Raw genomic sequence first — 27998 nt, 5'->3', positions numbered from 1 at the left:
ATTGCTTGAGATCAGGAGTTTGAAACCGGCCTGGGGAACATGTCAAAACCCCATCTCTACTAAAAATACAAAAATTAGCTGGGCATGGTGGTGCACGCTTGTAGTCTCAACTACTCAGGAAATTGAGGCAGGAAGATCGCTTGAGCCGAGATCATGCCACTGTATTCCAGCCTGGGTGACAGAGTGAGACCCTGTCTCAAAAAAAAAAAAAAAAAATTATACATATTTTTCTGCTGCTGTTGCCGCTTCCTCTTTTTTTTTTTTTTTAGCAGTGTAAGAACCGGGGGTGAATCCACTTTTGGGGAGCTAAAGGGCCCCGCTGTGCCATCCTCGGTCACCCTCTCTGTCCTGGGCACCTCTTTGGGACAGTGGTTCCCTTGCCACCTGCCTGCTGTGGATGACAATGAGGGGACTCCATTCCAGAGGTGCCTGGTCTAAAGGAAAGAAGGGAAGGGCTGCCATAGTTGCCGCAGTGAGAAAAAAAGAGGAATTGAAATGTTTTTTAGGCTGAGCGTTATGTCGCACGCCTGTAATCCCAGCACTTTGGGAGGCTGAGTTGGGCAGATCACTTGAGGTCAGGAATTCAAGACCAGCCTGGCCAGCATGGTAAAACTCCTTCTCTAATAAAAACACAAAAATTAGCCAGGCGTGGTGGCGCACACCTGTAGTCCCAGCTACTTGGGAGGCTGAGGCAGGAGAATCCCTTGAACCTGGGAGGTGGAGGTTGCAGTGAGCCAAGGTCATGCCACTGCACTACAGTCTGGGGGACAGAGCAAGACTCCATCTCACACACGCACAAAAAAAATTTTAAATAAAGAGGAATTCCAAATAATCCTTGGCTCTTCTCTGACAGCAGCTTCCCAATAAAGAAAAGATCAACTTTTTAAACTTTAATAGAAATTTCAAATTTGTCCGTGTTTGGTGTAATTTCACTTTTACCTGCATACAGACTGCTCGCAGAAAGTGATTAATTCTTGATCCAGGCTCTTCTATTTGCACACAACCTGGATCAGATTCTCTCTGCAGTTGCTCAGGAGCCACATGCGATTTGCTGAGCATGTGCACTGGTGGACAGCGAGCCTTCCCTCCTGCAGAGGCTACACCGCCTCCCCACAGGCCTGGTGCAGACCAGAGCTGTCACAGGCACTTGTGAGTGTGGAGTGCTCAGAGAGTAGAGGCTATTCATGTAATGTCTATAAAAAAATAACACCAAGGCCGGGCGCGGTGGCTCACGCCTGTAATCCCAGCACTTTAGGAGGCCGAGGCGGGCGGATCACGAGGTCAGGAGATCGAGACCATCCTGGCTAACACGGTGAAACCCCGTCTCTACTAAAAAATACAAAAAATTAGCCGGGCGTGGTGGCGGGCACCTGTAGTCCCAGCTACTCAGAAGGCTGAGGTGGGAGAATGGCGTGAGGCGGAGCTTGCAGCGAGCCAAAATCGCACCACTGCACTCCAGCCTGGGCGACAAGAGCGAGACTCCGTCTCAAAAAATAAAAATAAAAAAATAACACCAGCTTCTCAGTCTCTCCCTCAGATGCCTCCTTTGTGTAATAGAAAAATCACAGTACTCTTCCCATCCTTCAAGCTGGCAATTGGATGGAAGCACTGTGGGGAAGGAGCGCTGAGAGTGGATGGCTACCTCCCTCCTGCCAGCCTCTCCACAAAGACCGCAGCTGGGGCTCTGCCCTTACTGAAGCAAGTGCAGTAGGGCAGGAACAACCAAACTGATTAAGTCTTTAGTTTCTCAGTATCTCCAATAAAGCTTCTTTCTGTTATTTTGATTTAGACTTTAAATCTGTTGCCTTAATCCAATCAGCCAGGTGGGATGGCAGGCTGTGGTTTGCCTGTCCTGCCCCACGCCCGGGGTTTTATGAAGGTTAAGTGCAAGGACTGGGAAAAGCTGTGTGACTGGCACGTGCGGGCCTGTGCTGGACATGGAATCCGGTCATTGCCGCTGGGGGTTCTGTACCAAAGTGGGTAGATGGCACCCCACGCTGCTGCTGAATCAACAGGAGCTGGGACTGGGTACCACAGGACATGATGTTCACTTTGAAGGATTTTTATAATCAAATGAAGTCTTTGTGTTCATCTCTGGGACAGCAAGGCAACGTGACTTAAAGTGTCATATGTGTTACACTAAAAATAGTTAATGTGATCTTGTAGACACCCCAAAATGTTTCGCTGTTTAGTCACCCCTGGGATTAGACACAGTTCAGAGCTGCTGGTGCCGTCCCAGCCGCCAGCCTGTGGTGCTGCTGTGAGCGAAGTACCGTGACCTCAAGGGTGGGGAGATGCCAGAGGGGGGCTGTGAGTGCTTAAAGGGGGCCTATTCCTATGCCCCACTTGAATTCATTATAATACAGATTCACCAAGTACACTTTTACGACAAGTGTTTTCATTAAAACGTACCTGTCTCGAAGGGTGTTCAAGTCGCCGTAAGCAGCTGGCTTGTTTAATGGGGTTGATACAGCAGCTGGGACACTTCCATCCTCATCCTCTCGTTGCTTGGTGAGACTAACTTTACTGTTTACATTCTAGACCCTACTGTAGAGCTGGAAAGGAGGAATAGAGGTCATATTTAATCAGAAATGAGCTATTCAGGTGACTACAAAAGATCACTTATTTCTGAAGGAATGTTTTTGATCTCCTCTAGGATATGATGGTTGACACCATACAACTTAACCCTTTGAGTAAAACCTCAGTGGTAGCAATTCTTAACCTATCATGTTCATCAAAAATACTGTGATGCTGGCTGGGTGCAGTGGCTCACACCTGTAATCTCAGCACTTTGGGAGTCCGAGATGGGTGGGTCATCTGACGTCAGGAGTTCCAGACCAACCTGGCTAACATGGTGAAACTCCATCTCTACTAAAAATACAAAAAATTAGCCAGGCATGCTGGCTCACGCCTGTACTCCCAGCTGTTTGGGAGGCTGAGGCATGAGAATTGCTTGAACCCAGGAGGCAGAGGTTGCAGTGAGCCCAAGATCATGCCACTGCACTCCAGCCTGGTCAACAGAACTCTGTCTCAAAGAAAAAAATAAAAAAATACAGGCTGGGCGCAGTGGCTCAGGCCTATAATCCCAACACTTTGGGAGGCTGAGACTGGTGGATCACTTGAGGTCAGGAGTTTGAGACCAGCCTGGCCAACATGATGAAAACCCGTCTATACTAAAAAATACAAAAACTAGCCAGGTGTGGTGCCACACACCTATAATCCTAGCTACTCAGGAGGCTGAGGCAGGAGAATCGCCTGAACCCGGGAGGTGGAGGTTGCAGTGAGCCGAGATTGCGCCATTGCACTCCAGCCTAGGCAACAGAGTGAGACTCCGCCTCCGAAAAAAGAAAAGAAGAAAAAAATACTGTGTTGTTATAAAATACGGCGCCTGGACTCCATCTTGGGCCCACTGGTCACATTTCTTAGGGTGGGGCCTGGTCATCCATTTGTCTTTGTTTTTGTTTTTCTCCTTGTTCTGCAGTTGATTCACATTCACTGTCCTATTCCCAGGGCCCATAACGAGGCGAGGCCCAGAGTCTGCACTCTGAGCGAATGCACTGGAGGCTCAGATGCCCTGAAGTGCAGTTTGGTCCATGGTCAAGAGCGTGAGCTTTGGAGTCAGAAAGGCCTGCTTGCAATTAAGAGCTTTGTGACCTGAGGCCCATTACTTCTCTGAGACCCGTTTTCTCATGCAGGAAATGCTCTGTGAACCATGATGGGGCAGGATGGGGAGGGGCATCTTCTCAACCGTGCATCTTCAGCACTGAACTCCTAGGGCGTGAAATTATCTCTAAAATATGCATTTCTTCCCTTTAGGAAATCTGACTATATCTCTCCGCTAGATGACTTAGCTTTTGATATGTACCAAGATCCAGAAGTTGCACAGATCATACGAAAATTAGATGAAAGAAAACGGGAAGCTGTCCAAAAGGAACGCTATGATTATGCCAAGAAACTAAAACAAGCCATTGCTGATTTGCAAAAGGTATTGCCTTTGGAGAAAACAGTTCCTAATTTATGCCTGTAATAGGTTTTATGTATACTTAGAATAACTACATGGTAAAAGAAACCAGTTACTAAAAGCCGTGAAGTTAGTGTGAGTTCAAAGATCTCAGCAAAATAAAGTTACGGAGACAGATAAGCACTTTAAAAATGTAAATGGAAGCAGAAGCTTTACCTCTTCAGACTCACGTTCAGGTGTCAGGGTCAGCTACCTCGTTACTAGGACCCTGAGCCCAATGGGAAAATAGGAAAACCAGCTATCCTGAAAGTCATAACCAAACCATGAGCTTATTAAATGCCCATACAGCAACAGCAGCCAGACCTTTGCTGAGTGTGGCCCATTCCTTCCATTTCCCTGTGCTCACTCCCTCTCCTTGCAAGACGGTTCACGCGTGATTCTTAAAAATTAGCTTTGCATTTGATGTGAGTTGATCCAAATTTGAAAGAAAAAGCAAATATTTTGTGCTTCAGGTTGGTGAACGCCTTGGGAGGTATGAGGTAGAGAAACGCTGTGCCGTGGAGAAGGAAGACTACGATCTCGCCAAGGAGAAGAAGCAGCAGATGGAGCAGTATCGTGCCGAGGTGTACGAGCAGCTGGAGCTGCACAGCCTCCTGGATGCCGAGCTGGTGGGTGCAGGAGCCCAGACGGAGTGGAGGAAAGCCTAGGAGAACAGAGATTCAACTGTGTGGTTCACAACAGTGGATAGATGTCTTTGAAGTGTAGTGTAAAACACTCTGCAGTGCTCAGGGGACAGTTATGGATGGCCTCAGCTCTGTGCCTACGTCAGGGAGGCTTTGCCTCAGCATGTTCTTTCAGGAGACTCACAGTCGTGGGAAAGGGAACAAACCGGGGTCAGGAAAACCGAGGCCCTGCTGCTTTTCTGCTGCATCCCTTCATCTCTCCAGCTGCTTCCTTATTTGGAAAAGGCAGTGATGACCCTGCCCCACTGACCCCTCAGTGTTGTAAGGATCAAGTGAGAACGTAATGCTAACAGCTTCGGTGTATTGAGAACATATTTCCCATAAGGTGCTCTGCCTCTGATTTTAGAACTCATGCAAATGGGGCACTCAGCCCACGTTACAGATTAGGAAATGAAGGTTCTGAGATACGGAATAGTGATTGAGAGTGCACACTCTCAAGGCCAGGCATGGTGGCTCACGCCTGTAATCCCATCACTTTGGGAGGCCAAGGCTGGAGGATTGTTTGAGCCCAGGAGTTCGAGACCAGCCTGGGCAACATAGAGAGACCCTGTCTCTACAAAAAGTAAGTAATAGCCAGGCCTGGTGGCACACACCTGTAGTCCTAGCTACTCAGGAGAGTGAGACAGGAGGATCACTTGGGCCCAGAAGTTCGAGGCTGCAGTGAGCTACGATCGCACCACTGCACTCCAGCCTTGGTGATGGAGCGAGACCCTGCCTCTGAAAAACAAGAGAGCACACTCTGGAGCTGGACTGTCTGGGTTCAAATCCGGGCACCACCATTCCAGCTCTGTGATCACAGACTAATTCTTATCAGCTTTATGCCTCAGTTTTCCATCAGCTTTCAAATGGGGGTAAACAGAGTAAGCATTAATGAGCCTACCTGTCCAAAACACTCAGTACCATGCCTAGTGTGCAGCAACTGGTCAGTCAGCTTTGCTTGTTGGGATGACACAACATCACTTTCCTTTGTACACACAGTGAATAGCAGTGCCAGATTTTGAATAAAAGTCCACTTGGGTCCAGCCCAGGTGCTTTCTCCACACCACCGTGCTCCTGCAGGGGCACATATGTGTGGACATGCTCCATGCACAAATGCTCATTCCTTCACTAGCATTTTGGATGTGTATGTCACTTTTGTAGTCAACACAGAAATGTGGAGAGACAACTGAGATGAGTGCAACTTGATTGTGTGGGACTTTCAAGTAGATTTCACTCTGTGGAAGTTTCTCTTTGGTTTTGAAATTTTTCATTGTGCCAAGGAGCCTCTTCCAGCACAGCTTTCTAAAGTCTTATTCATCTGAAGGAATGAGATAGATATATCTGGCGTGGCAGTGGCATTTGAAATTAAATGTTCCTTTTTGTTCTCTAGATGCGAAGACCTTTTGATTTGCCCCTCCAGCCCCTCGCTCGTTCTGGCAGTCCTTGCCACCAAAAGCCAATGCCCTCACTACCACAACTGGAAGAAAGAGGAACAGAAAACCAGTTTGCAGAACCTTTCCTTCAGGAAAAGCCTTCATCATATTCTCTAACTATTTCTCCTCAGCATTCTGCAGTAGACCCGTTACTCCCTGCCACAGATCCTCATCCAAAGATCAATGTAGGTAATTCTGTTTCAGATTGGCGTTCAATTTATTTGGGTATTTGTAAAGGACATGTGTTGTGCCAGGTGCTGTTCCCATGCATGGGGTGCATGAGTGCTCCCCAGCCAGACCCACCTCTGTTCCATTCTAGGAGCCATAGTGCTGAGTGAGAGCATAGCCACATAAGGAATAGGCCTAATGACACCTTGTGAGCATGTTTATTAAAATCAGGCTTGATGCTTATTTCTAAGCAATAAACTAAGAAAATATCAGAGATCTTGTCAGAAAAAAAGATGTAATAGCCTTTACTTTAGTAGTCTCCATGTCAGTTGAACTGAAATTGCTACCAGTAAACAGTCATTGAGGTGGAATCTACCTTGCTTTTTTTTATTAGGTCTGTAATGAGTTTAGAAAGTAATAGAAAGCCTCATCTAATCTTTTCAATTACATCCTATTTGTTGTATAAATTATTCTAATCTGATGATACTGATATTTAGCAAAATAACATCTTTCAGATCAGGTAAGTAAGCGCAGTAAGCCTGCCAGTGAGAGTTGCACTGGAGAATGTGACCTATGGAGCTCCCCAGCACTTTCCTCTCTCCTTCACTCACTGCAGGCAGAGTCCCTGCCCTACGATGAGCGGCCTCTTCCAGCTATTCGTAAGCATTATGGGGAGGCAGTGGTGGAGCCGGAAATGAGTAATGCAGACATCAGCGATGCTCGGAGGGGAGGCATGTTAGGGGAGCCAGAGCCCTTAACCGAGAAGGCCTTGAGAGAAGCCAGCTCTGCCATCGATGTGTTGGGAGAAACCTTGGTAAAAAAAAAAAAAAAAAAAAAAAACGGGGTGGCAGAGGGGAGGCTAGTCTATATGGTACGCACACCTCTGTGTACTTACACATAAAGGAGGGAAAACGCCCACGGCTTTGCATTTGTAATATTGTTGACTTCCCTTTGTTCTTCCTGAATTGGAAAGTCTTTTGTTAACTTTTTTTTTTTTTTTTTTTGAGACGGAGTCTTGCTCTTCACCCAGGCTGGAGTGCAGTGGCAAGATCTCCGCTCACTGCAAGCTCCGCCTCCTGGCTTCACCCTGTTCTCCTACCTCAGCCTCCTGAGTAGCTGAGACTACAGGTGCCCGCCACCACGCCTGGCTAATTTTTTGTAATTTTTTTTTAGTAGAGATAGAGTTTCACCACGTTAGCCAGGATGGTCTCGATCTCCTGATCTTGTGATCCACTCACCTTGGCCTCCCAAAGTGCTGGGATTACAGGCATGAGCCACTGCGCCCGGCCTTTTTTTTTTTTTTATGAAACAGAGTGTCACTCTGTCACCCAGGGTGGAGTACAGTGGCGTGATCATAACTCACTATAGCCTTGAACTCCTGGCCTTGGCCTCCCAAAGTGCTGGAATTACAAACATTAGCCACCGTGCCTGCCCTTCTGTAAATTATAAATTATGTGAAACAGCAAAAACATGAGCTAAGATGTATCAGTGAGTACTCATTTCAGCCTGGGTGTTTCCTTCTGGCATTCATGGAGCTTGTATTAAACAACTGCTCCCTTCTGAATACCAGCTAATTCCAGCGCAAAAGGATGGCATAGCAAAAGATGGAAGTATCTCCTTATAGAAATGAGTAGAGTTGGCCAGGCGCAGTGGCTCACGCCTATAATCCCAGCACTTTGGGAGGCCAAGGCGGGTGGATCACGAGGTCAGGAGTTCAAGACCAGCCTGGCCAAGATGGTGAAACCCCATCTCTACTAAAAATACAAAAATTAGCTGGGCATGGTGTCAGGCACCTGTAATCCCAGCTAGCTGGAAGACTGAGGCAGGAGAATTGCTTGAACCCGCAGGGGGACAGAGGTTGCAGTGAGCCGAGCCACTGCACTCCAGCCTGGGCGACAGAGTGAGAGTTTGTCTCAAAATAAAAAGAAATGAGTAGGGTTTTCCCTCGTTCTCAGCTTTAAAATATTTCTCTTGGAGAATTTAATACTTTTTATATTTTAACATAGTCTTAAATTTCCTTATCAGAGAAAATTATTTCTCTAAATATACATATTTATTTGTAAAAGTTCTATTATTAGAAATGAATCATTTTCATTTATAAAAGTTCTGTTCTTAGAAATGAATCATTTTAGTTAAAAAAAAAACAAAGCCTTCAAGTTGTGTAGTGTTGGAGGATGGTTGTGTGATGCCATGAAATGCTGCCTGTTTTGTGGTAGGTTGCTGAGGCCTATTGTAAGACGTGGTCCTACCGAGAGGATGCACTGCTTGCCTTGTCTAAGAAGTTAATGGAAATGCCTGTTGGAACCCCAAAAGAAGATTTAAAGAACACACTGAGAGCATCCGTCTTTCTCGTTAGAAGAGCCATAAAGGACATTGTGACCTCCGTGAGTGCCCTCAGCTGGCGCTGGCTCCAGCGTGCATGGATGAGATCATGCGCCGTACCACAGAAGACCAGAGCAGCTTGAGAGAGGACCAGTTGGTCATTGACGTGGTCACCAACTGTAACTCAATAGAATCACTAAGAAATGAGGTTCTCTAGCAAGAGCTATACTGTGCAACTGATCTTACATGAAGGGTCTGGGAAATCTGCCTTTGCTTGGGTCATTGTCTCTGGTCTCCAGCAGTGTTAGCTTTTCCATGGTCTGCAAAGCCAGGCGTTTGTAGAGGCCTAGTTCAATGCTACCACATCTTCAGTTTGTGTTTTCACTTTGCATGAAACCTGATGAGGTTGAGAATTACTGTTTTTTCTAATGCTGAATGGGCCTTAAGAATGGACATTGCACAGTTGGGCTTCTAACAGCCCACTGAAGCAGGGCTGTTAGATACTCAGTATGAAGGGAAGATTTGGGCTTACCCATTGAAGCAGGGATGTTAGATACTCGGTATGAAGGGAAGATTTGGGCTTACCCATTGAAGCAGGGTTGTTAGATACTCGGTATGAAGGGAAGATTTGGGCTTACCCATTGAAGCAGGGATGTTAGATACTCGGTATGAAGGGAAGATTTGGGCTTACCCATTGAAGCAGGGATGTTAGATACTCGGTATGAAGGGAAGATGGGGAGTGATTTCTGACAGAGTGAAGTAAGAGCATATGTCCTCTATATGCAAGGTGCTGTGTTTAGAAAGCAGTTTTCAGTTTGCAATTTTCAGCCTTTCAGACGAGATGTCATTTTCGATATAATGTTCGTATGTGTTACTGATAGTAAATGCCATGTTTCCTCTTGGTGGAATTGCACCGTAGTAACTCATCCGTGTTCATCACTTTTCTCTTAGGTTTTTCAGGCTTCTTTGAAATTGTTGAAAATGATCATTACACAATATATTCCTAAACATAAACTGAGTAAACTTGAAACAGCTCACTGTGTGGAGAGGACCATTCCCGTTTTGCTCACCAGAACTGGAGATTCTTCTGCCCGCCTCCGCGTCACAGCTGCAAATTTTATTCAGGTCTGAACTTCACCACGGCATTTGAAACCGTAGATGATAAACATATTCCTGTAGCTCTCTGGCTTTCTTAACACCTTTTACAAGATTCTGTCTCTACTCAGTTAACATTATTCTCAGGGATTCACCATCACACTTTCCTTATGCTCTAAAAGGTCAGTTTTGTCTTAGACATAAACTTCAGTTAAAATCTACAGTTGGGTTTTTCCAATGTTTTTTTTATCCAACATATGCCATTAATTTTTTAAATAAATAAAAACACACAGAAAATGATATCAAAAGAGAAAATCTGAGGGTAAAGAAATAAAAAATATAACTGTCTTAATAGAAATATTTTCATTCTTTCACCAAATATGCCTCCTCTAGGCTAGATATTATGGGAAATATTGAGATAGAGATAAATGTATGAGTTTTGGGGCACACAGTTATGCACCATAATTTGAAAATCTTTAAACTAGCTAATGAATTCATCTAGTCTAGGAGTTCTTAAGAGTCCTCCTTTGGGCTTAAGAAGCTTATGAATTACGTTAAGTTTTACACAAAATTTTGTGATGTGCAGATCCTTCTTAAAAAAGAATCCAGGCCAGACTGGGCACGGTGGCTCACACCTGTAATCCCAGCACTTTGGGAGGCTCAGGCAGGTGGATCACAAGGTTAGGAGATCGAGACTATCCTAGCCAACCTGGTGAAACCCCTTCTGTACTAAAAATCCAAAAATTAGCCGGGTGTGGTGGTGCGTGCCTGTCGTCCCAGCTACTTGGGAGGCTGAGGCAGGAGAATCGAACCCGGGAGGCAGAGTTTTCAGTGAGCCGAGATCACGCCACTGCACTCCAGCCTGGCAACAGAGTGAGACTCCATCTTAAAAAAAAAAAAAAAAGAATCCAGGCCAGGCGGGGTGGCTCACGCCCATAATCCCAGCACTTTGGGAGACCAAGGCAGGCAGATCATTTGGGCCCAGGAGTTTGAGACCAGCCTGGCCAACATAGTGAGACTCTATCTCTGCAAAAAATACAAAAATTAGCCGGGCATGCTGATACACCCCTGTAGTCCCAGCTACTTGGAAGGCCGAGGCGAGAGGCTTGAGCCCAGGTGGTTGAGGCTGCAGTGAGCCGTGATCTCGCCACTGTACTCTAGCCTGGGTGACAGAGAAAGACAGTGTCTCAAAAAGAAGAATCCAAAGGGGTCATTTCTCCAAAATATGAGGAACCACAGATCTAGTTTCATTTAATAAACCTAAATTTTCAGAGTAAATAAGGAAAAGGAATGCTAATAAAAAGGTAAGAAGAAATGCTGTCATGCTAATGTGCTACACTACACTCCTGGTTATGACCTACACTACACTCCTGGTCACGACCTACACTACACTCCTGGTCACGACCTACGCTACACTCCTGGTCACGACCTACGCTACACTCCTGGTCACGACCTACGCTACACTCCTGGTCAGGACCTACGCTACACTCCTGGTCACGACCTACGCTACACTCCTGGTTACGACCTAATGTGCTACACTACACTCCTGGTTACGACCTACACTACACTCCTGGTTACGACCTACAATACACTCCTGGTTACAATACACTCCTGGTTACAATACACTCCTGGTTACAATACACTCCTGGTTACGACCTAATGTGCTACAATACACTCCTGGTTATGACAGCTAGAATTTGGGGGTGAGGAGGGTTCATCTTTCAAAAGATATGTTGCAAATGAGCACATGTTATTGCTTCATTTAATTATTTTTAAGCCACATTAATTTCTGAGCAGTTTGGTGGTGCTCAAATGTTCTCTCTATGTGAGACAACCTTAAGGCAATCTATCGAGGGTTACAATTGTGCACCAGTGTGCCGGTTAGTGGACGAAATACACACTCAACAGCATCTGTTTGTAGTTAAGGAGTTTACTGTCCAAACTTCCCTGGAGAATGCTCTTCTTCTCTTAGCTTTTAGATTTGTACAGAGTCACTCACAGGCCCAAATCCAGAGTGAGTCAGGCCAGCACGATAAGAGATTATTTTAGGTGATAAGACCTGCAGACCTATTGGAAACAGGTTTATTTCTGATTGTAACTTAATGATTCAACATCTTATTTTTTTCTCTATATCCGGTTAATTAAGTGATAAATATCTTAATTACGTAAAGACTTGTTTGTTTAGAGACATTCAAATATGTAATGGTACTTACATTTTTTCCATCTTAACCCACTGGTGACCGTATCACTGCAGAATCATACACTCTTGGCTGACATTTAATAAATACTAAAATAACGGTGATTCTAGCAGCAGCTCTAATTTCTTTTAGAATTTTAGAAATGAGAAAACCTTTTCCTTGAAGCTGAGAATACTGAGAACAGAAACCTTCAAGTTTTCAATTACGCTTCTGAAAAGCTTTCAGTAGACATAAAATCGTTTTATTCTTCATGATTTTATTTCCTGTGGCTCAGATTTTCATTTCTAATGGTTGTTACGCTTTAAATAGAAATACAAGCTTACGGATCAGTGCTCTCATTGCTCCTTGTCACTATCAATCTGTATTTCCCTGTTTTTCCCTTCAGTGTTTAGTTTAAGATCATGCTGAATTGTACTAAACTGCCTCCAGCATTTTCCAGTAAAAATTAACAAATTACCTTGGCTTTCATAGGAAATGGCCTTGTTTAAAGAAGTTAAGTCTCTCCAAATTATTCCATCCTACCTGGTGCAGCCATTGAAAGCAAACTCTTCAGTTCACCTGGCAATGAGTCAGATGGGCCTCCTGGCCCGGCTGCTGAAAGACCTGGGCACTGGCAGCTCGGGCTTCACCATTGACAACGTGATGAAGGTAAGCAGACCTCGCGTGTGACACACCACGCGGCCCAGCACTCACCACAGTGCCTGGAGCGTGGCGAGGGTCTCATCGGCATTTGTTGAAGGAATGACTGAGGCAGTGATTTCAGAAAAATAGCCAGTGTTTCATCCAACAAATGGGGGCCCCCACATGCGTCCTGCTGTCTAATCCTACTCGGTGGTGCATGGTGTGTGCAGATCTTTATCTGTGGAGAGAAACAAATCATAAAAAATATTTCTTTGTCTTTTTTTTTTTTTTTTTTTGAGATGGAGTCTCGTTCTGTCGCCCAGGCTGGAGGTGCAGTGGTGCCATCTCGGCTCACTGCAAGCCCTGCCTCCTGGGTTCATGCCATTCTCCTGCCTCAGCCTCCCAAGTAGCTGGTACTACAGGATGCCCACCACCATGCCCGGCTAATTTTTTCGTGTATTTTAGTAGAGACGGGGTTTCACTGTGTTAGCCAGGATGGTCTCGATCTCCTGACCTCGTGATCCGCCCGCCTCAGCCTCCCAAAGTGCTGGGATTACAGGCGTGAGCCACTGCGCCCGGCCTGTCTTTAAGAGACAATAACAGCAGTGTGATGGAGAATATCAGGTACAGGTTGAAGCCCCTTATCTGGAATGCTTAAGACCAGAAGTGTTTAGGATTTCAGATTGTTTTCGGATTCTGGAATACTTCCATTATACTTACTGGTTTGGATCCCAAATCCAAAAACCTGAAATCTGCACATCGGCTACGCAGGAGCGCACACCTCCAAGGAGGATGAGAAACTGTGGGCCCCCGAGACGCACAGCAGGGATGAAATTGCACTATAGCCACAGCGTTCTGTTTCTTAAAAAAGATCCAAAACAAGCGTGATGAAAGTATAACACGGCTTACGATGAGACGGTAGATCCGTGAGGTTTTATGTTTGAAGTATTTCATAATACTTAATACGGATGTTTTCTCTTTTATTTTTCACATGTTTATAATGTACCTTTTTTGTAAGCTGGAAGAAATTAGTTTTATTTTAAGAATGAGTAACAAGAGCCCCTCCCAACTTTAGTTTTCAGTGAGTGCCCTGGAGCATAGAGTGTATGAGGTCCGCGAGACGGCGGTTCGAATTATTTTGGACATGTACAGACAGCACCAGGCTTCCATCCTGGAGTACCTTCCTCCAGACGACAGCAACACACGCAGGAACATTCTCTACAAAACAATTTTTGAGGGATTTGCTAAAATAGATGGCAGAGCTACAGATGCTGAGATGAGGGTGAGTTAACTTTGGTGAAGTTGTGATGTCATCCTGTGTTGAAGAAGTTACTCAGTTACTCGGTACGTAAATAAGTAAATATGTCATTTGAAGGAGCCACATGTATGGGAAGCCCCGGCGTCCTGGCTAAGAAAGAACACAGGTTCCCGCATTCAGATCCCGGCTGCTCCACTTTCTGCCAGTGAGACCCTTAGGTTCCCAGGCTGCAAACGGAATAACGATAGCCGTGAGGACACAGTGGGTTTATCTATCAATAGACACCAATGAAATCAATGGAAAAGACTTATTCTAACTTGTTATTAGTCTTAGTGAATATTATAATTTATAAGAAATATAGTTGATATGCCATAATTTGTCTCCCAGTTTCTAAGATTACCCTAACAAGCTGTTCTAATGGAAAAATAATTTTCTTACCAGGCACGGAGAAAAGCGGCTACAGAAGAAGCAGAAAAACAAAAGAAAGAAGAAATAAAAGCTTTACAAGGGCAGCTGGCAGCACTGAAAGAAATTCAGGCTGAAGTTCAGGTTGGAAGTTAACACGTCTTTCACCTGTGTGCTTTTAGCTGAAATGTATTTTGCTGTATAGATCCACATCATACTTGACTTATTTTTCATGGGATTATGCAAATGAGCGTCTTGATTCCTTTTGGTTTTTTAGGTTAGTTTTGGGGTGGATGACAGAAGCCCTCCATGGAGAGGTGGAATTGGGTGGCAGATACTCTTCCTGCCCCTCCATCCTCTGTCAGAATTGATGTGAGCTGCTGCTGAGGTTTAGGGAGGGACCAGGGGCTGTGGGCCCAGAGCTGCTCTCCTCCACAGCTCTCCAGCCACCTTCAGAGGCAAAGGAGAAAAATCAGCTTGACTATAAAGGTCTGACTTCAGCGCATTAAAAAGGGAAGGTTTCAGGTAAACATTCTGTTTCTATGAGCCCTTACTCTAAGCCTGTGGGGGTGTCATATGTACTGGGAACAAATACTATTTGGTTGAATATAAATGTGTTCCTCTTCAGCCTCCCAGCTTCTGGGATATGAATTAGCTTCATAACACTAATTTTATGATGAAGTTTCCTTCAGTTGAAAGAAAATTTCCTTAAAAAAAAGATATAAAGGTGGCAGAACACAGGGAGTTTCCGTTCCGCAGACCTGAGTTTTCAGCCGTGCCAGGTGAATGAGTTCTGGGACCTGCTGGCACCTCAGGCCTGCAGCCCACGTGGCTGCACAGTGCACGCAGAGCTATTCAGAGGGCAGAGCTCATGTCAAGTGTTCTTACCACAGATTTTTAAAAGAAGAAATGGGTACGAATGGGGAAAAAAGATCAAATGTGGCTGAATATAGGCTGAACTTCCTATGGCAAAAAGTCACCGTGACATTTCCACCAAATGCTGGAACGTCAGAGTCACAATCAGAAAAGGACACAGGAGGCGGAAGGAGGCAGGCAGACCCTGGGATGAGGAGTGAGCCTCTGGCTCAGGTCCGCATCGTGGTGTGGATGACTCGTGTGCTCAGTGACCCTCAGTGGCTCAGCACACACTCATTGTGATTAGTACACAAACGAGGACACGGATGTCGCAAACTGAAGGGATTTCCCTCCAGCCATGAGCTAGCATGTACTAAGCCCATTGCCAGGCGCCTGCCTCCCGCCTCCCTCACCACAGCCCAGGACCTGGTGGCAGTGGCTCCAGAAGCAGCAGCCGCCCAGGAGCTATTCCCAGCACTGTCCATCCTGGGGTCTCCTATGCTCATGGGCACACAGCACTGTCTGTCCCGGGGTCGCCTATGCTGATGGGCTGCACAGCCTCCACACAGCTGTCCTGAGAGCCTGCAGCTCTTGCTCATTGGCTCGGTGTTTATGGAGCGCCTCTCCGTGCCAGGCGCCATCTGGCTGTGGAAATACAGCAGGCAGCAAAGCAAAGTCCCACCCTCATGGAGCTGGGGCTCCAGGGAGGAGCAGACGAGGGAGAAAGACCCAGGCAGTGGGTCTGTGCTGCGGGGTGCTGGGGGCCATGGGTTGTGGGGGCCTCGAGGCCAGCGCAGACCTGCGCCCCACACAGGGCCTGGTGAAGGCCTCTCCCAGGAGAATGACGGGATGGGATGGATTTTTCTCTTTTTTTGTTGGGGTAAAATGCACAGAGTGTAAATCTTACCATTTTCAGTGCACACTGTGGTGGCATGGAGTGCTCTCACATTGTTGTGCAACCATCGCCACCATCCATCTCCAGAACTTTCAGAATTTACATATTAAGTCCTTTTCTGGTTCTAAAATCATACTCTCGGCCAGACGCAGTGACTCATGCCTGTAATTGCAGCACTTTGGGAGGCCGAGGCAGGAGGATCACTTGATTTCAGAAGTTCAAGACCAGCCTGGGCAACATAGTGAGACCTCATCTCTACTAAAACTTAAAAAAAAAACTTAGCCAGACATGGTGGTGAGCACCTGTAATCCCAGCTACTCAGGAGGCTGGGGCAGGAGGATGGCTTGCACCCAGGAGGCCAAAGCTGCAGTGAGTTGTGTTTGTACCACTTCCAACCTAGGCAACAGAGTGAGACCCTGTCTAAAAATAATGATAATAAGAACAAAATTGTGCTCTTTTTAGGGGCAGGGTGGGTGTCTGTGGAACTAGAATTGCACTTCTGCATGTGTTTTCCACAGTCAGTGGTTGAGTTTGAGAGAAACTGCAGTGGCATGATCTCAGCTCACTGCAGCCTCCACCTCCCAGGCTCAAGTGATCCTCCCTCCCCAGCCTCCTGAGTAGCTGGGACTACAGGGCACGCCACCACACCCAGCTAAGTTTTGTACTTTTTGTAGAGACAGGGTTTTGTTTGCCATGTTGCCCAGGCTGGTCTTAACTCCTGAGCTCAAGCAATCCACCACTCACCTTGGCCTCCCAAAGTGCTGGGATTACGGGCATGAGCCACCTTGCCAGCCAGTAGAAATTCTAAAACAAAACCCAGAAATGTGCTTTCGTGATGAAAACATATCTTCAACAGGCTCTCACTCACTCACACTGCAGCCCTTTGCCCCTGACCTCACTGTTTCTGTGTCTTAGGAAAAAGAAAGTGATGCTGTGAAGCCAAAGAATCAGGGTATGTAAAGAATTGGGGTGCACAAAGAACTGGGGTGTGTAAAGAATCGGGGTGTGTAAATGCATGTCATGGAAGCTCCATGTGGGAACGGCTTCTGTCCATTCAGCAAGTATCACTGCACGCCTGCTGCACCTCAGCCATCTCCCAGCTGAATGGAAAACATGCTACCTTTTTACTTGTATAATCGTTTTAGAGCTCACATCAAACTGCTTACTAAAATTTTGAAAATAATTTCTATAAAAAGTTATTTAAATTGTTTTAATCTCTTCAGACATTCAAGGAGGGAAAGCAGCCCCTGCTGAAGCTCTGGGAATCCCGGATGAGCACTATCTAGATAAGTAAGTCGCGCTGTCTTCCACCCATTGTACGATGGTCAGGGCAACCAGCCACACAGAAACCCTGGAAAGGGAATGCGTCCTCCCTAGTTGGCCCTTCGTAGTCATCATAAAAGGTAGGAAATGTGCCTTCTGCACTAACCAGCATCCACTCCGAGTCAGTCAAGACAACTTTCCCTCTGTTTATTGTAACTTAAAATATCCTTTCTGCTTGACGATGCTGAGTGAAATTTCAGAAGGATCGTTCGCCCGTTGATTTCAGGCACCTCCTTGGTGAGGACTTTCCTATCGTGCTTTAACACATGGCACACCCAGCCTCCTCTGCCACCTGCAAGGGAGGCCCAGCCCGGGCCCTGCAGAGCAAACTGAGGCAGTTCCAGATGAGAGGGAAAGTGCACACATCACAGGGACTGGGGAAATTCAGAATTTCCTCGTGACGTGGGAGCGGAACGGCCATCAGTGGAACTAGATCCTTACCTTTATTTCCTGCTTTGCTTTGCTTTCAGTTTGTGTATTTTTTGTGGGGAAAGGAGTGAATCCTTCACAGAGGAAGGTCTGGATCTCCACTACTGGAAGCACTGTCTCATGCTGACAAGATGTGACCACTGCAAACAGGTCAGGCCAGCGGCACAGCAGCCAGCTACTTGCATGAGCGGGAACACCTGGCTGTTGAAAGGCCGAGTCAAAAAGCTGTCCCAAGTCTTAGTATTTTCAGAGGAGAGGTTGCGAGAAAAGTAACTGAAGCCAAGCACACACCCGCAAATGCGTGCGAGTCATTCCATATGACAGACAGCCCAGTGAACCGGAAACATGCTGTGCCGCCACCTCCCCTCGGGGCTCCTTCCAGAGTCAGCAGGGGTCTGATTTCTGACACCACAAATGGGTCCTCCTTGCTCTTTGAGCTTTGTAGAAACGGAACCATGTGGCGTCATGTTGGATTTCTTGCTTTATAGTGTCCACTGCTTGAATGGACCACAGCACCTTCATCCACCTTCCGCTGTGCGCCAGGGCTGCGTCCAGTTTGGGACCATGATAAACAATGTTGCCACAGCGTTCTGGTGTCTTCCAGGATGCACAGGAATGCACTTTCTTGGGTTCACAATGTGTTGTGGGATTGCCAGGTGTGCTGATGCTCAGTGGGGCTGCCCAGGAGTGCTCCAAAGGGGTTGTGCCTGGGCACCACTGCCAGCAGCACAGGCACTGCCCCCTTCCCACAGTGCCACTGCCCCCTTCCCACAGTGCCACTGCCCCCTTCCCACAGTGCCACTGCCCCCCTTCCCACAGTGCCACTGCTCCCTTCCCACAGTGCCACTGCCCCCTTCCCACAGTGCCACTGCCCCCCTTCCCACAGTGCCACTGCCCCCTTCCCACAGTGCCACTGCCCCCTTCCCACAGTGCCACTGTCCCCCTTCCCACAGTGCCACTGCCCCCTTCCCACAGTGCCACTGCCCCCCTTCCCACAGTGCCACTGCCCCCTTCCCACGGTGCCACTGCCGCCCTTCCCACGGTGCCACTGCCTCCCTTCCCACGGTGCCACTGCCCCCTTCCCACCGTGCCACTGCCCCCTTCCCACAGTGGCACTGCGGCCATGCTTCCTGCTGTCTTGGTGAGTTCCCCCTGTGCCTGTCCCTGGTGAAGATGAGGTGGAGTGCCTGTCCTTTTGTCTGCAGGCCTTGGCTGTCCTGCAAAGCACCTGGTTTCTCACCGGTTTCCCTCGGGTTGTCCATCTGTTTTTATTGATTTGGGGCCGTTCTTTATACACGTGGATGTGAGTGGTTGGTCAGTCGCATGAATTGTGACCATCTGCTCCCACTCCACAGCATGCAGTCTTCGCTGTCTGAAGTGTCTTGAGGAAGAGACGCATTTTTAATGTTAGCATTGCCCACCTTGCCAGTCTTTTTCATGGTTCATGCTATTCGTGTCCTGTGTAACAAGTCTTCCCCATCCCCTATATTAGGCCTTTCTTGCATTACTATAGAGAAATACCTGGCTGGGCAGGTGGCTCACGCCTGTAATCCTAGCACTTGGGGAGGCTGAGGCGGGCGGATCACCTGAGGTCAGGAGTTCAAGACCAGCCTGACCAACACGGAGAAACCCCGTCTCTACTAAAAATACAGAATTAGCCAGGCGTGGTGGTGTATGCCTGTAATCCCAGCTACACGGGAGGCTGAGGCAGGAGAATCACTTGAACCCGGGAGGCAGAGGTTGCGGTGAGCCGAGATCACACCATGGCACTCCAGCCTGGGCAACAGGAGCGAAACTCCATCTCAAAAAATATATATATCCCTAAGACTGGGTAATTTATGAAGAAAAGAGGTTGAACTGGCTCACAGTGTGTCAAGTCCTGCGGCCTGAAGTTATAGAGTATATACAAGTCATTCCTGCCAGAGACACCAACGTAGCGAGAGAATCTCTTAAAATTCTTTTCTGTGGTCCTGTTTCTGTGTGCATTCTTAGAAATAGTGGGGAGCCACAATTTCAACCTTGGGCCACACTGTAACCACTGAGCCACTCTGCGCCCTCATCCAAGCTTCACACTCAGGCCGACCGTAGCTTCCCCATCCTTGACAGTGGCCCCTGCCCGATGCTAAGATGACAGGAAAGGAAGGACGTGGGGTCTTCAGCAAAGTATCACAAGTGACTCCAGACAGTCTGTGGGCAAATGCCGAAGATAGAAGCCTGTGGCTTACTTCATGTGCAGGCGGCACAGACCTCCCTGGGCAGGGGAGGCGCTCACAGGCTCTGCAGGCTGGCTGGAGGGCGCTGCCGCTTTCTCAGCAACATGCTTTGCTCTGTATTTCGAAATCCAGGTGGTCGAGATATCCAGTCTGACGGAGCACTTGCTGACGGAATGTGACAAAAAAGACGGGTTTGGAAAGTGTTACCGTTGCAGTGAGGCTGTTTTCAAGGAAGAGCTGCCCAGACACATAAAACACAAGGATTGCAACCGTGAGTGCCCCTTCCCAGGCTCCCGTGCCCTCGGGTCACCAGGGGTCCTCTTGGAGGAAGTGCCACTGCTCTTGAGCCTGTGCAAGGGCTTGGTGAATTAAAGGGCACCTGCGGGCAGGCCAGCAGCATGTCTTGTCGCCTGTCATTCAGGGAGCGACTGAGTCTTTTTAAAATCATTTCAGCTGCCAAACCGGAGAAGCTGGCAAACCGGTGTCCCCTGTGTCATGAGAACTTCAGCCCTGGAGAAGAGGTGAGGGGCCTGGGGAGAAGGGACCAGTGAAGTAGGTGACACACCTGTGGATGGCAGTGGTGGTGACAGTGGTGGTGTCAGTGCGGGACCATAGCCACAGAGTACAGTACATGAGTGTTCAGGGAGGGGACAGCGTCTAGTGAGCCCTGTCTGAGCAGTCGTTCCGTTTACCTACGTGTTCACATGATTTCCTTCCGTACATTTATGAATGGTTTATCGAGGAGCCTCAACTCACTGAGGCCCAGCCTGTGTCACTGGGATACAGCATGAAATGGTTTTATTTTGTTCTGGTCATTGCCTTTATCCAGATAATGAGACCCTCAGTGACATCTTGCCCAGATTCTGTAACACTGCGGTCCCTTTTGCCTAATAAAACCCAGCCCTATTTGGTTAAACGATTCTCTTTCCTACCTGATTCCAAGCTCTCCTCCCTGCCCCAGTGCACTACGCAGTGACTCAGCAGGCAAGTGGGGACGGCCGCCTCGTACACGCCCACCCTCCACTTCCCCACGTGCTCGGCTCCTCTGGCATTGGAGGCGACGAGGAGGGACATGGGCGTGCAAGGCTCCGTGGCAATTATTCTGGCCCTGTCCAACACGATGGGCTGGCGGTGCCCTCTTTATGCCAGGCAGCGAATGCTGAGCCCTGGGGCCCTGCTCAGGACCCAGTTTGGGAATCTGGCTCAGCCACTTCCACTCCAACCTCCTTAGCTCCTGCCACCTGCAGTGTGTCACTGTGTCCTGCTGCTGGCTCCCCTTGTCCCAGCCTTCTGGGATATGGTACCAGCAAAATGGCTCCAACCCAGCCACTGTAGCTTTCTCTTGACCCCAGAAAACTCACACCAAACAGAGAAGACAGCCCCCAGCCGCTCTCAGCGCTGGTGTCTACCCAGTTATCTGGCTCTCTGTGTCCCTCTGTCTGTCTGTCCCTCTGTCTGTCTGTCAGTCTCTCTCTCTCTCAGAGTTTGAAATGCATCACAGAGTACACAGAAAAGTGACAGAAACCCTCAGGACTCTCCCTTGTCACGGTCACTGAGCTTGCGCAACTAGCAACTCAGCCCGTCTTGTTTCTCCCGTGCCCCCACGTGCTCCCCTCTCTTGTAATGTTGAAGCCAACCCAGACAGCACGTTGTTGCATCTGTAAATGTTCCCGTCGGAGCTTTCGGAATCGGGACTTCTTTACACAGCCACAGCAGCAGCCTCAGCCTTCCAGACGTCAGTCACATTGCCGCCATCTCATCAGGTCAGAAGCATCTGATTACCGGGATCCATAGAAGGCCCCGGTGCCTGGTTGGTCTGTTTTGAACAGGTTCATTCTCTCGTTCTTTTTCCTTATGATTCACTTGGTGAAGGAAGGAGCTGTTTGCCCCGTAGGGCTTCTCATCGTCTGGATCTGCTGACTACGTTCCCTTGGGGGCGCTTAACCTGTTTCTCTGTCCCTGTATTTCCTGTAAACAGGAGGTGGGATCTCTGGGCCTCATCAGGTGTGCACAGGCTCGGTGTGAGTGTGGCCGCTTCACAGGCAATGCTGGTGTGTCCCCCGGGAGGCGCGTGATATGTGTGACGGTGGCAGCTGCTGAGGCTCAAGGCCTAACCCACCGACTCAGGAGGGGCCTCATTCTGTCATCCCTCCTTCGTTCATCTGCTGGGATATTCCTCTAAGCAGAAGCTCGTCCACTCTGTGGTGACCCTAGGTTAGACTTTCTATTGGAAAGGCAGAGTGAAGGTTTAATTTTTTTCCTTGGTTTACTGGTTTTCAGAATAGTAAGCTGGGTCACTAGCATCTTCCATGGCAGCTAATTTGTTTTGTTTTGTCTGTAGTGTCGTTATGAACCATGGATTTAAATTATTCAATGTGTTCCAGTCACAGCAGTTACCATGCTTAGTGATGCGTGAATTATCCCAGCTCTAGCCTATGGCAGACTCTTCAGCTGGGCTCCTGAGGCCTGGATGAGAGCCACGCAGCCTCAGAGAGCTCCCTCCTGTTTGGTGCCTTCCTTCCCCGGACCTGGAATCAGCCATCTGGGCACAGAGGCCTGGTTCCCATTAGCAGGAATGGATGTCTCAGGACAGCGCTGGGGGCCTCATGCCCACTGCTGCTGGGTAGTTCGCTGTGGCTGGACTCTCAGTGGACACAGCCAGGAGAAATCAAGGGAAGTAAGCTCCATCACTCATGCACACACACTTCCCCTTCCCGTTCTGAGCTGCAGGCTTTATTTAACCTTGTCTCTCCCAACATCTGTGTCTCCTTTCTTACATCCATGGGCCCCGGTTTCCAAAGGCCCAGGAGACAGAATTCAGGTATTGGAGGCGACCAGTTCACCTTGGCCCCCACTGCACCTGCGGCAGCCCCAGCACAGTGGCACCTGCACCGCCAGCAGGAGATGCCACTGGAAATTAGATCTGTTCCCAGTTCTTGTCCTGACCACATCTGCCACTGGTGACGGGGGTCCCAGTGGCCCTGTGTTGGAGGGACTTGGGTGAGCCCTGGCTAGCAGTGCCACCAACTGTAAATACATTCATTTTATATTACATTTCTAGGGGACTTTAAAGAATTAAGTTCTGTAATTACAGAAGACATGTTTCCGGGTCGATAGAATCAGGCATCTTGGAAGAACCCTGGACAGAGGCCGCCATCCTGCCCCACTTCCATCTGCCTTCCTCCACCCCAGACAGAGGCGCCGTCCTGCCCCGCTTCCATCCGCCTTCCTCCAGGGGCTGCTTTTCCTACAGGGCATCCTGCCCCTTTTCTACCCAATAGAAGCAGTTTTCACTGCACATACATCTTTTCCCCTGGTTATCTCCAGAATGTGGGAGCCTTTGTGTTTGCATTCGAGTTGTTACCTTTACTTGTCCTCCCGTGCAATGCCCATCATCCCCTCTGATTTCAGTTATTGCCATTGGTTTCCTACTAGGAGCAGTACTCACATTCTCCTGTAACTGCCTTTTCTTCCTTCCCTTCTTGTTCCCAACATCTGATTTGAATTGACATCCTCTTACAGGTAGTACCTGTAAGGCTGTCACCAGGCGTATCTCATGTGTCATCTGCTTTCCCTGTATCTCATTATCTGCACTGCCTTACACATCACCACACACCCTTCAGCATAAGCAGAAAACACACTCACTCATTACCTCACGGGTTCCCTGGGTCCGGAGCCAGGCTTCATTCTCATCTGTCAGCCCTGCTAGGGAAGGACTCACTTCCAGGCTCATCCCAGCAGCTGGCAGTAATATGTTCTTGGGGGCTGTCAACCCGGAGCCACTCAACTCCTAGAGGCCCCCACCGTCAGCACCGGGGGCCTCTCTGCTGGCAGCTCACTTCCTCGAGGCCAGCAGGAGACTCTGCCACTCCAGCCTGCTGAGACACGTCTTTCTAATTTCGTGTGAATTGTTTTGCCGTTCATTCTTCAAATATTTTTTCTCTCTTCAGCGTTCCCTCCCTTCTCTCCTGCCTGCAGGCTCGTGAGTGTGAAGACTGCTCAATCTTCTGTGGGTCACTGGGCTTTGTCCAGTGTTTCCTTTCTGTTCTAGTTGAATGGCCCCTGCCCTTTCTCCTTCCATCTCCAGTCCTCTGTTAAGTGAATTCATTTTCAATCTGGTACTTTCCAATTCTAGTATTTGTGTTTGGCTGGGATTTCTTTACAGGTTTCATTTCTCTGCTGAGATTCACCTCTGTTCACTCATTAAGATCACCTGTTTTTAACAGCTTCATGGAGATCTAGTCTGCACAGCCTCTCCCCGTGGACAGATAGTGGGTTTTCATGTATTCAGGGTTCTGCAACCATCTGCACACGTGTGGAACTTTTCCATCACCCAAAAGACAACACTGCCTACATGCCGCCCCTTTTCTCCCCAGCCCCCTCTCCAGCCCCTGGCGACCATATGTCTAGTTTTGGTCTCCATGGATTTGCCTACTGTGGACATTTCCTGTAAATGGAATCAGACACTATGCGGCCTTTGTGTCTTTGACTTAACGTGTTTTCAAGGTTCGCCCGGGTTCTAATAGATCAGTAGCACTTCATTGCACGTTCAAGTCCTTGAACATACTAGGTATCTGCTTTAAAGTCCTTTTGTGCTAATTCTAACATCTGGAATTTTTCTGAATGTGAAGGGGGATAAACAGTGAAGTTTGACACCCTCCACACTGCTCAGAAGAAAGCTCCGAGTGGATCTGAGATTCAAATGTGAAAGGCCCAATTATGAATCTCTCAGGAGATGCTAGAGATAAGAGAATAGCCTTCAGAATAGGAAGGGATTTCTCAAACAGGACACAGAAAGCTTAAGCCTTGATGGAAGAGGCAGATCAATTCAATTAGATTAAAATGAAGAACCTTGGGGCAGAGTTTGGGTTTTGTAAAATGAAAAGAGTTCTGGAGTTAAGCATCGTGAACATGCTTAACACTACTGAACTGTACACTCATTTTATAATAAAACTATTAAATTGTAAAAGGTGAGAACCTCCTCTTCATCAAAGAACATAAATAGACTGAAAGACAATGCTGGGGATGAAAAATCATTGACCATTATTCTTCAAAGTGAGTGGAAGGCAATGTCCCTGCAGGGTTTGAGCGGAAGAGTGGGCATGGCCTGGCGGGCCCTATGCCAGCCAGTTTTGCTGCTCTGTTGAGAGCAGCCTGTGGGACAGAGAGGTCGGGTAGTAGCAGAGAGCTAAGTGGCGAGAAGTGGTCAGATTCTGGACACACACTGCAGGCAGACCCAGGACTTGGCCGGTGGAGTCCTCACAACATGGCAAGGAAGTAACTGCGGTCAGGAATCCAGGGCGCTCAGGAGCTTAGCCTGGAGCTGTGGAGTTAAAATCCCTGTCAGACGCGCAGGCCGGTAGACAGGTGGCTGCAGGTGGAAATGTGGGGTTTGTAAGCGTGTATAAGAAGTGGGTTTAAGGTCATGATACTGGGAGCACTCTTCTAAAGAGCAAGTGTAGACAGAGGAGAAGCCCCAGGCAGAGTGGGAGGAAGAAGGCAAACCAGGCGCTGGGGAAGAAATGCACTGGGGAGGAAGCCTGACGAGGGTGGCGTCCTGGAGGCCCCAGAGCACAGCCCATCAGAGAGGATGCCCTGCTGGCCTGGCTGGGTTCAGCTGATCGCAGCCGCCTGGCTCTTGCATCTGCACTTGGCCATAGGGCGGCCAGGCGGCTCTGCTGGCCCTGACTGGGCTCACACACGCGTGTGCCTGGGGTCCGCAGCCGGAGACTGATTGAGAATGGTCTTGGAGGCAGCTGCGGCACCTCAGCTTTGCTTTCTGTGTCTGAGCCCAGCACGCCAGCCTGGGCACGGCGTTCTCGCGACAGCAGCAGAGGGCAACAGCAAGACAAGCCCAGGCGCATGAGTTCATTTCAGCCTGCCCTGCCACGTGTCTGCCACTGTCCCATTGGCCAAAGCAAGCCACAGTCACCCAGATTCAAGGGATGGAGAGGGACCTGCCACCTCTGTGCTGGGGAGGGAGGAATTGGAGCCTTAGAGCAGGTCATGTCCCTCCACGGGGGAGGGGGAAGCAACTGCACCCCATGTGCCGGTGGGCCACATTCTGGTGAGAAGGCGCCCCAGCTTTAGGGACACGAAGGTTGCCAGTGGCCTGGAGAGACCAGAACCCAGGCCTGCCGGGAGCAGCTAAAGCGGGACAGGAGTGGGCTGGGCTGGGGCTGCAAGCGCTCTAGTATCTTGAGGGCTGCCGCAGGTGGCCAGAAACTGACAGCCACTGGTGAGAGTGAGAGAGGAACCAGGGAGAAGCAGGGCTGTGTCTGGTGGAGATACTGGTCCACCAGAGAATGGGAGAGCGGCTGGAGCAGTGTCCCTGGGAAGCGTTGTTTGTTTTTGAGATGGAGTCTCACCCTGTTGCCCGGGCTGGAGTGCACTGATGTGATCTCGGCTCACTGCAACCTCCGCCTCTCACGTTCAAGCAATTCTCCTGCCTCAGCCTCCTGAGTAGCTGGGATTAGCTGTTGGGGACACGAGATGCGCCACCACACCCAGCTAATTTTGTGTTTTTAGTAGAGACGGGGTTTCACCAAGCTGGCCAGGCTGGTCTCAAAATCCTGACCTCAGGTGATCCACCCACCTCTGCCTCCCAAAGTGTTGGGATTACAGGCGTGAGCCACCGCGCCCAGCCTCGTGAGTGTTGTTTAAATAGAAGGGAAGGAACCAGGAACAACTCGAATGTCCAGAAGACTCAGGGAACCAGCGATCCCGCGTTTATATCCAACAGGAGGACGAGATGAGCTCCCTGTCCCCATGCAGACGGTCCCACAGCTGGTCGTAAAGGAAAGAAGCTGGCTGCCCAGGCAGTCAGGCCTGCATAAGCCCCACATTCTGCAGGGCAAGTGCATGTGGCGTGGCTCAGGAAGAGCAGGGATGAAGAGAGTGGGAACCCCACGAGGAACCGTGGGCAGCAGGCTGGCGGGGAGCCCGCGGTGCCTGGCGCGTTCTGTCTTCTGGCCTGGAACGTAATCACGCGGGCGCTCTGCTTCTCACCCTTGCATTTGCGTGCACGCTCTGCTGTGCTCAGAGTCACTGACACCAAGGGCCCTGTGTGGCTGGGTGGGGATGCGAGATGCAGGCTTGCCTGGTGACAGGACTTCTTGCTTCCTGAGTTGTACCCTGCACAGACTGCAGAGGCTATCATAACATATCCGAAGGGAGGTGCCCAGGTGAGGGAGCCGTTCTTCTGCGGCTCTTGCTGGAGCGGCCGCCCTCGTTTTCAGCTTACACAGCGAGTCCTTTTGGGTCTCAGGTAGCGTGCCAGGTCCGTCTCGCCTGATTAACACTCTGTGTGCCTCCTCTGCTGCAGGCATGGAAAGCTCACCTGATGGGCCCAGCCGGCTGCACGATGAACCTGCGCAAGACACACATTCTGCAGAAGGCCCCGGCACTGCAGCCAGGTGAGGGACAGCGCCGCTGAGCAGGTGTAGTCTGCATCCCTCCATTTTGACTTATTCAAAAAAGCATCCCCGTCCAGGGCAACATGGCAAGACCCCATCCCTTTAAAAGCAAAATAAAGCATCCAAGCCTGTCTTCATGTTCTGGTTCCTTAGTAAGCAGGCTAATAATCAGAATCGTGTGACCAAAATCCTTCTCCACCTGCAAACTGGCTGTGCAGTGCGAAGGCTCCACGGGTGGCCTAGGATTCACACTCCCGTCCTCCGCTCTTTCTACATCACTGACTCAAGTGTTTAGAATCAGGAAGCTGGCCAGGCACAGTGGCTCACGCCTATAATCCCAGCACTTTGGGGGCTAAGGCAGGCAGATCACTTGAGGTCAGGAGTTCGAGATGAGCCTGGCCAACATGGTGAAACCCTATAAAAAATTGGCCGGGCACAGTGGCCGGCACCTATAGTCCAGCTACTCAGGAGGCTGAAGCAGGAGAATTGCTTGAACCCGGGAGGTGGAGGTTGTGGTGAGCCAATATTGCGCCACTGCCCTCCAGCCTGGGTGACAGAGTGAGACTCTGTCTCAACAAAAAAAAAAAAAATAGGAAGCTGAAGAGTAGACCCTACTAGGCTCAGCCCTGGCTCCTGTAGTCGGGTGACGGCCATCAGCATGGGCCTGGGACGTTGTTGCTGGGTG

General features: G+C 48.9%; 1 protein-coding gene across 9 annotated transcripts in view, besides 3 other annotated features; it reads left to right on the top strand.

Annotated features, from left to right (window-relative positions):
* The window catches only part of CEP104 (centrosomal protein 104), a 45126-nt gene that overhangs the window by 13619 nt on the left and 3509 nt on the right, over positions 1–27998 (top strand). For 3 of the 9 annotated variants that reach the window (NM_014704.4, XM_005244815.5, XM_024451101.2), the window contains 15 exons: positions 3817–3985; positions 4474–4629; positions 6074–6301; positions 6901–7098; positions 8501–8668; positions 9558–9731; positions 12371–12547; positions 13596–13802; positions 14220–14327; positions 16849–16885; positions 17157–17223; positions 17727–17835; positions 20031–20169; positions 20352–20419; positions 27223–27313. In NM_014704.4, coding sequence (NP_055519.1) covers positions 3817–3985; positions 4474–4629; positions 6074–6301; positions 6901–7098; positions 8501–8668; positions 9558–9731; positions 12371–12547; positions 13596–13802; positions 14220–14327; positions 16849–16885; positions 17157–17223; positions 17727–17835; positions 20031–20169; positions 20352–20419; positions 27223–27313 — 2096 coding nt within the window. Of the gene's footprint in view, positions 1–3816; positions 3986–4473; positions 4630–6073; positions 6302–6900; positions 7099–8500; positions 8669–9557; positions 9732–12370; positions 12548–13595; positions 13803–14219; positions 14328–14621; positions 14714–16848; positions 16886–17156; positions 17224–17726; positions 17836–20030; positions 20170–20351; positions 20420–27222; positions 27314–27998 lie in introns of those variants that run through there. The other 6 variants (XM_047435158.1, XM_024451102.2, XM_047435161.1 and 3 more) reach the window with 4 other exon arrangements.
* Positions 4257–4756: an enhancer, noted in NCBI's record as "H3K27ac hESC enhancer chr1:3755401-3755900 (GRCh37/hg19 assembly coordinates)". NCBI's record gives its function as "activates a minimal SCP1, AML or CMV promoter by ChIP-STARR-seq in primed H9 embryonic stem cells {active_cell/tissue: H9 hESC(primed)}" and the evidence as "EXISTENCE:reporter gene assay evidence [ECO:0000049][PMID:30033119]".
* Positions 11793–12992: an enhancer, noted in NCBI's record as "BRD4-independent group 4 enhancer chr1:3747165-3748364 (GRCh37/hg19 assembly coordinates)". NCBI's record gives its function as "activates an origin of replication core promoter dependent on BRD2, P300/CBP, MED14 and CDK7 cofactors, and independent of BRD4, by STARR-seq in HCT116 cells {active_cell/tissue: HCT116}" and the evidence as "EXISTENCE:reporter gene assay evidence [ECO:0000049][PMID:35650434]".
* Positions 13076–14275: an enhancer, noted in NCBI's record as "CDK7 strongly-dependent group 2 enhancer chr1:3745882-3747081 (GRCh37/hg19 assembly coordinates)". NCBI's record gives its function as "activates an origin of replication core promoter dependent on BRD2, BRD4, P300/CBP, MED14 and CDK7 cofactors, with strong dependence on CDK7, by STARR-seq in HCT116 cells {active_cell/tissue: HCT116}" and the evidence as "EXISTENCE:reporter gene assay evidence [ECO:0000049][PMID:35650434]".

Source organism: Homo sapiens, chromosome 1 (genome assembly GCF_000001405.40).
Source record: "Homo sapiens chromosome 1, GRCh38.p14 Primary Assembly".
In the NCBI taxonomy this organism is placed as follows: Eukaryota; Metazoa; Chordata; class Mammalia; order Primates; family Hominidae; genus Homo; species Homo sapiens.
Note: the sequence above shows the minus strand (reverse complement) of the source record. Positions and strands in the feature narration are given on the sequence as shown.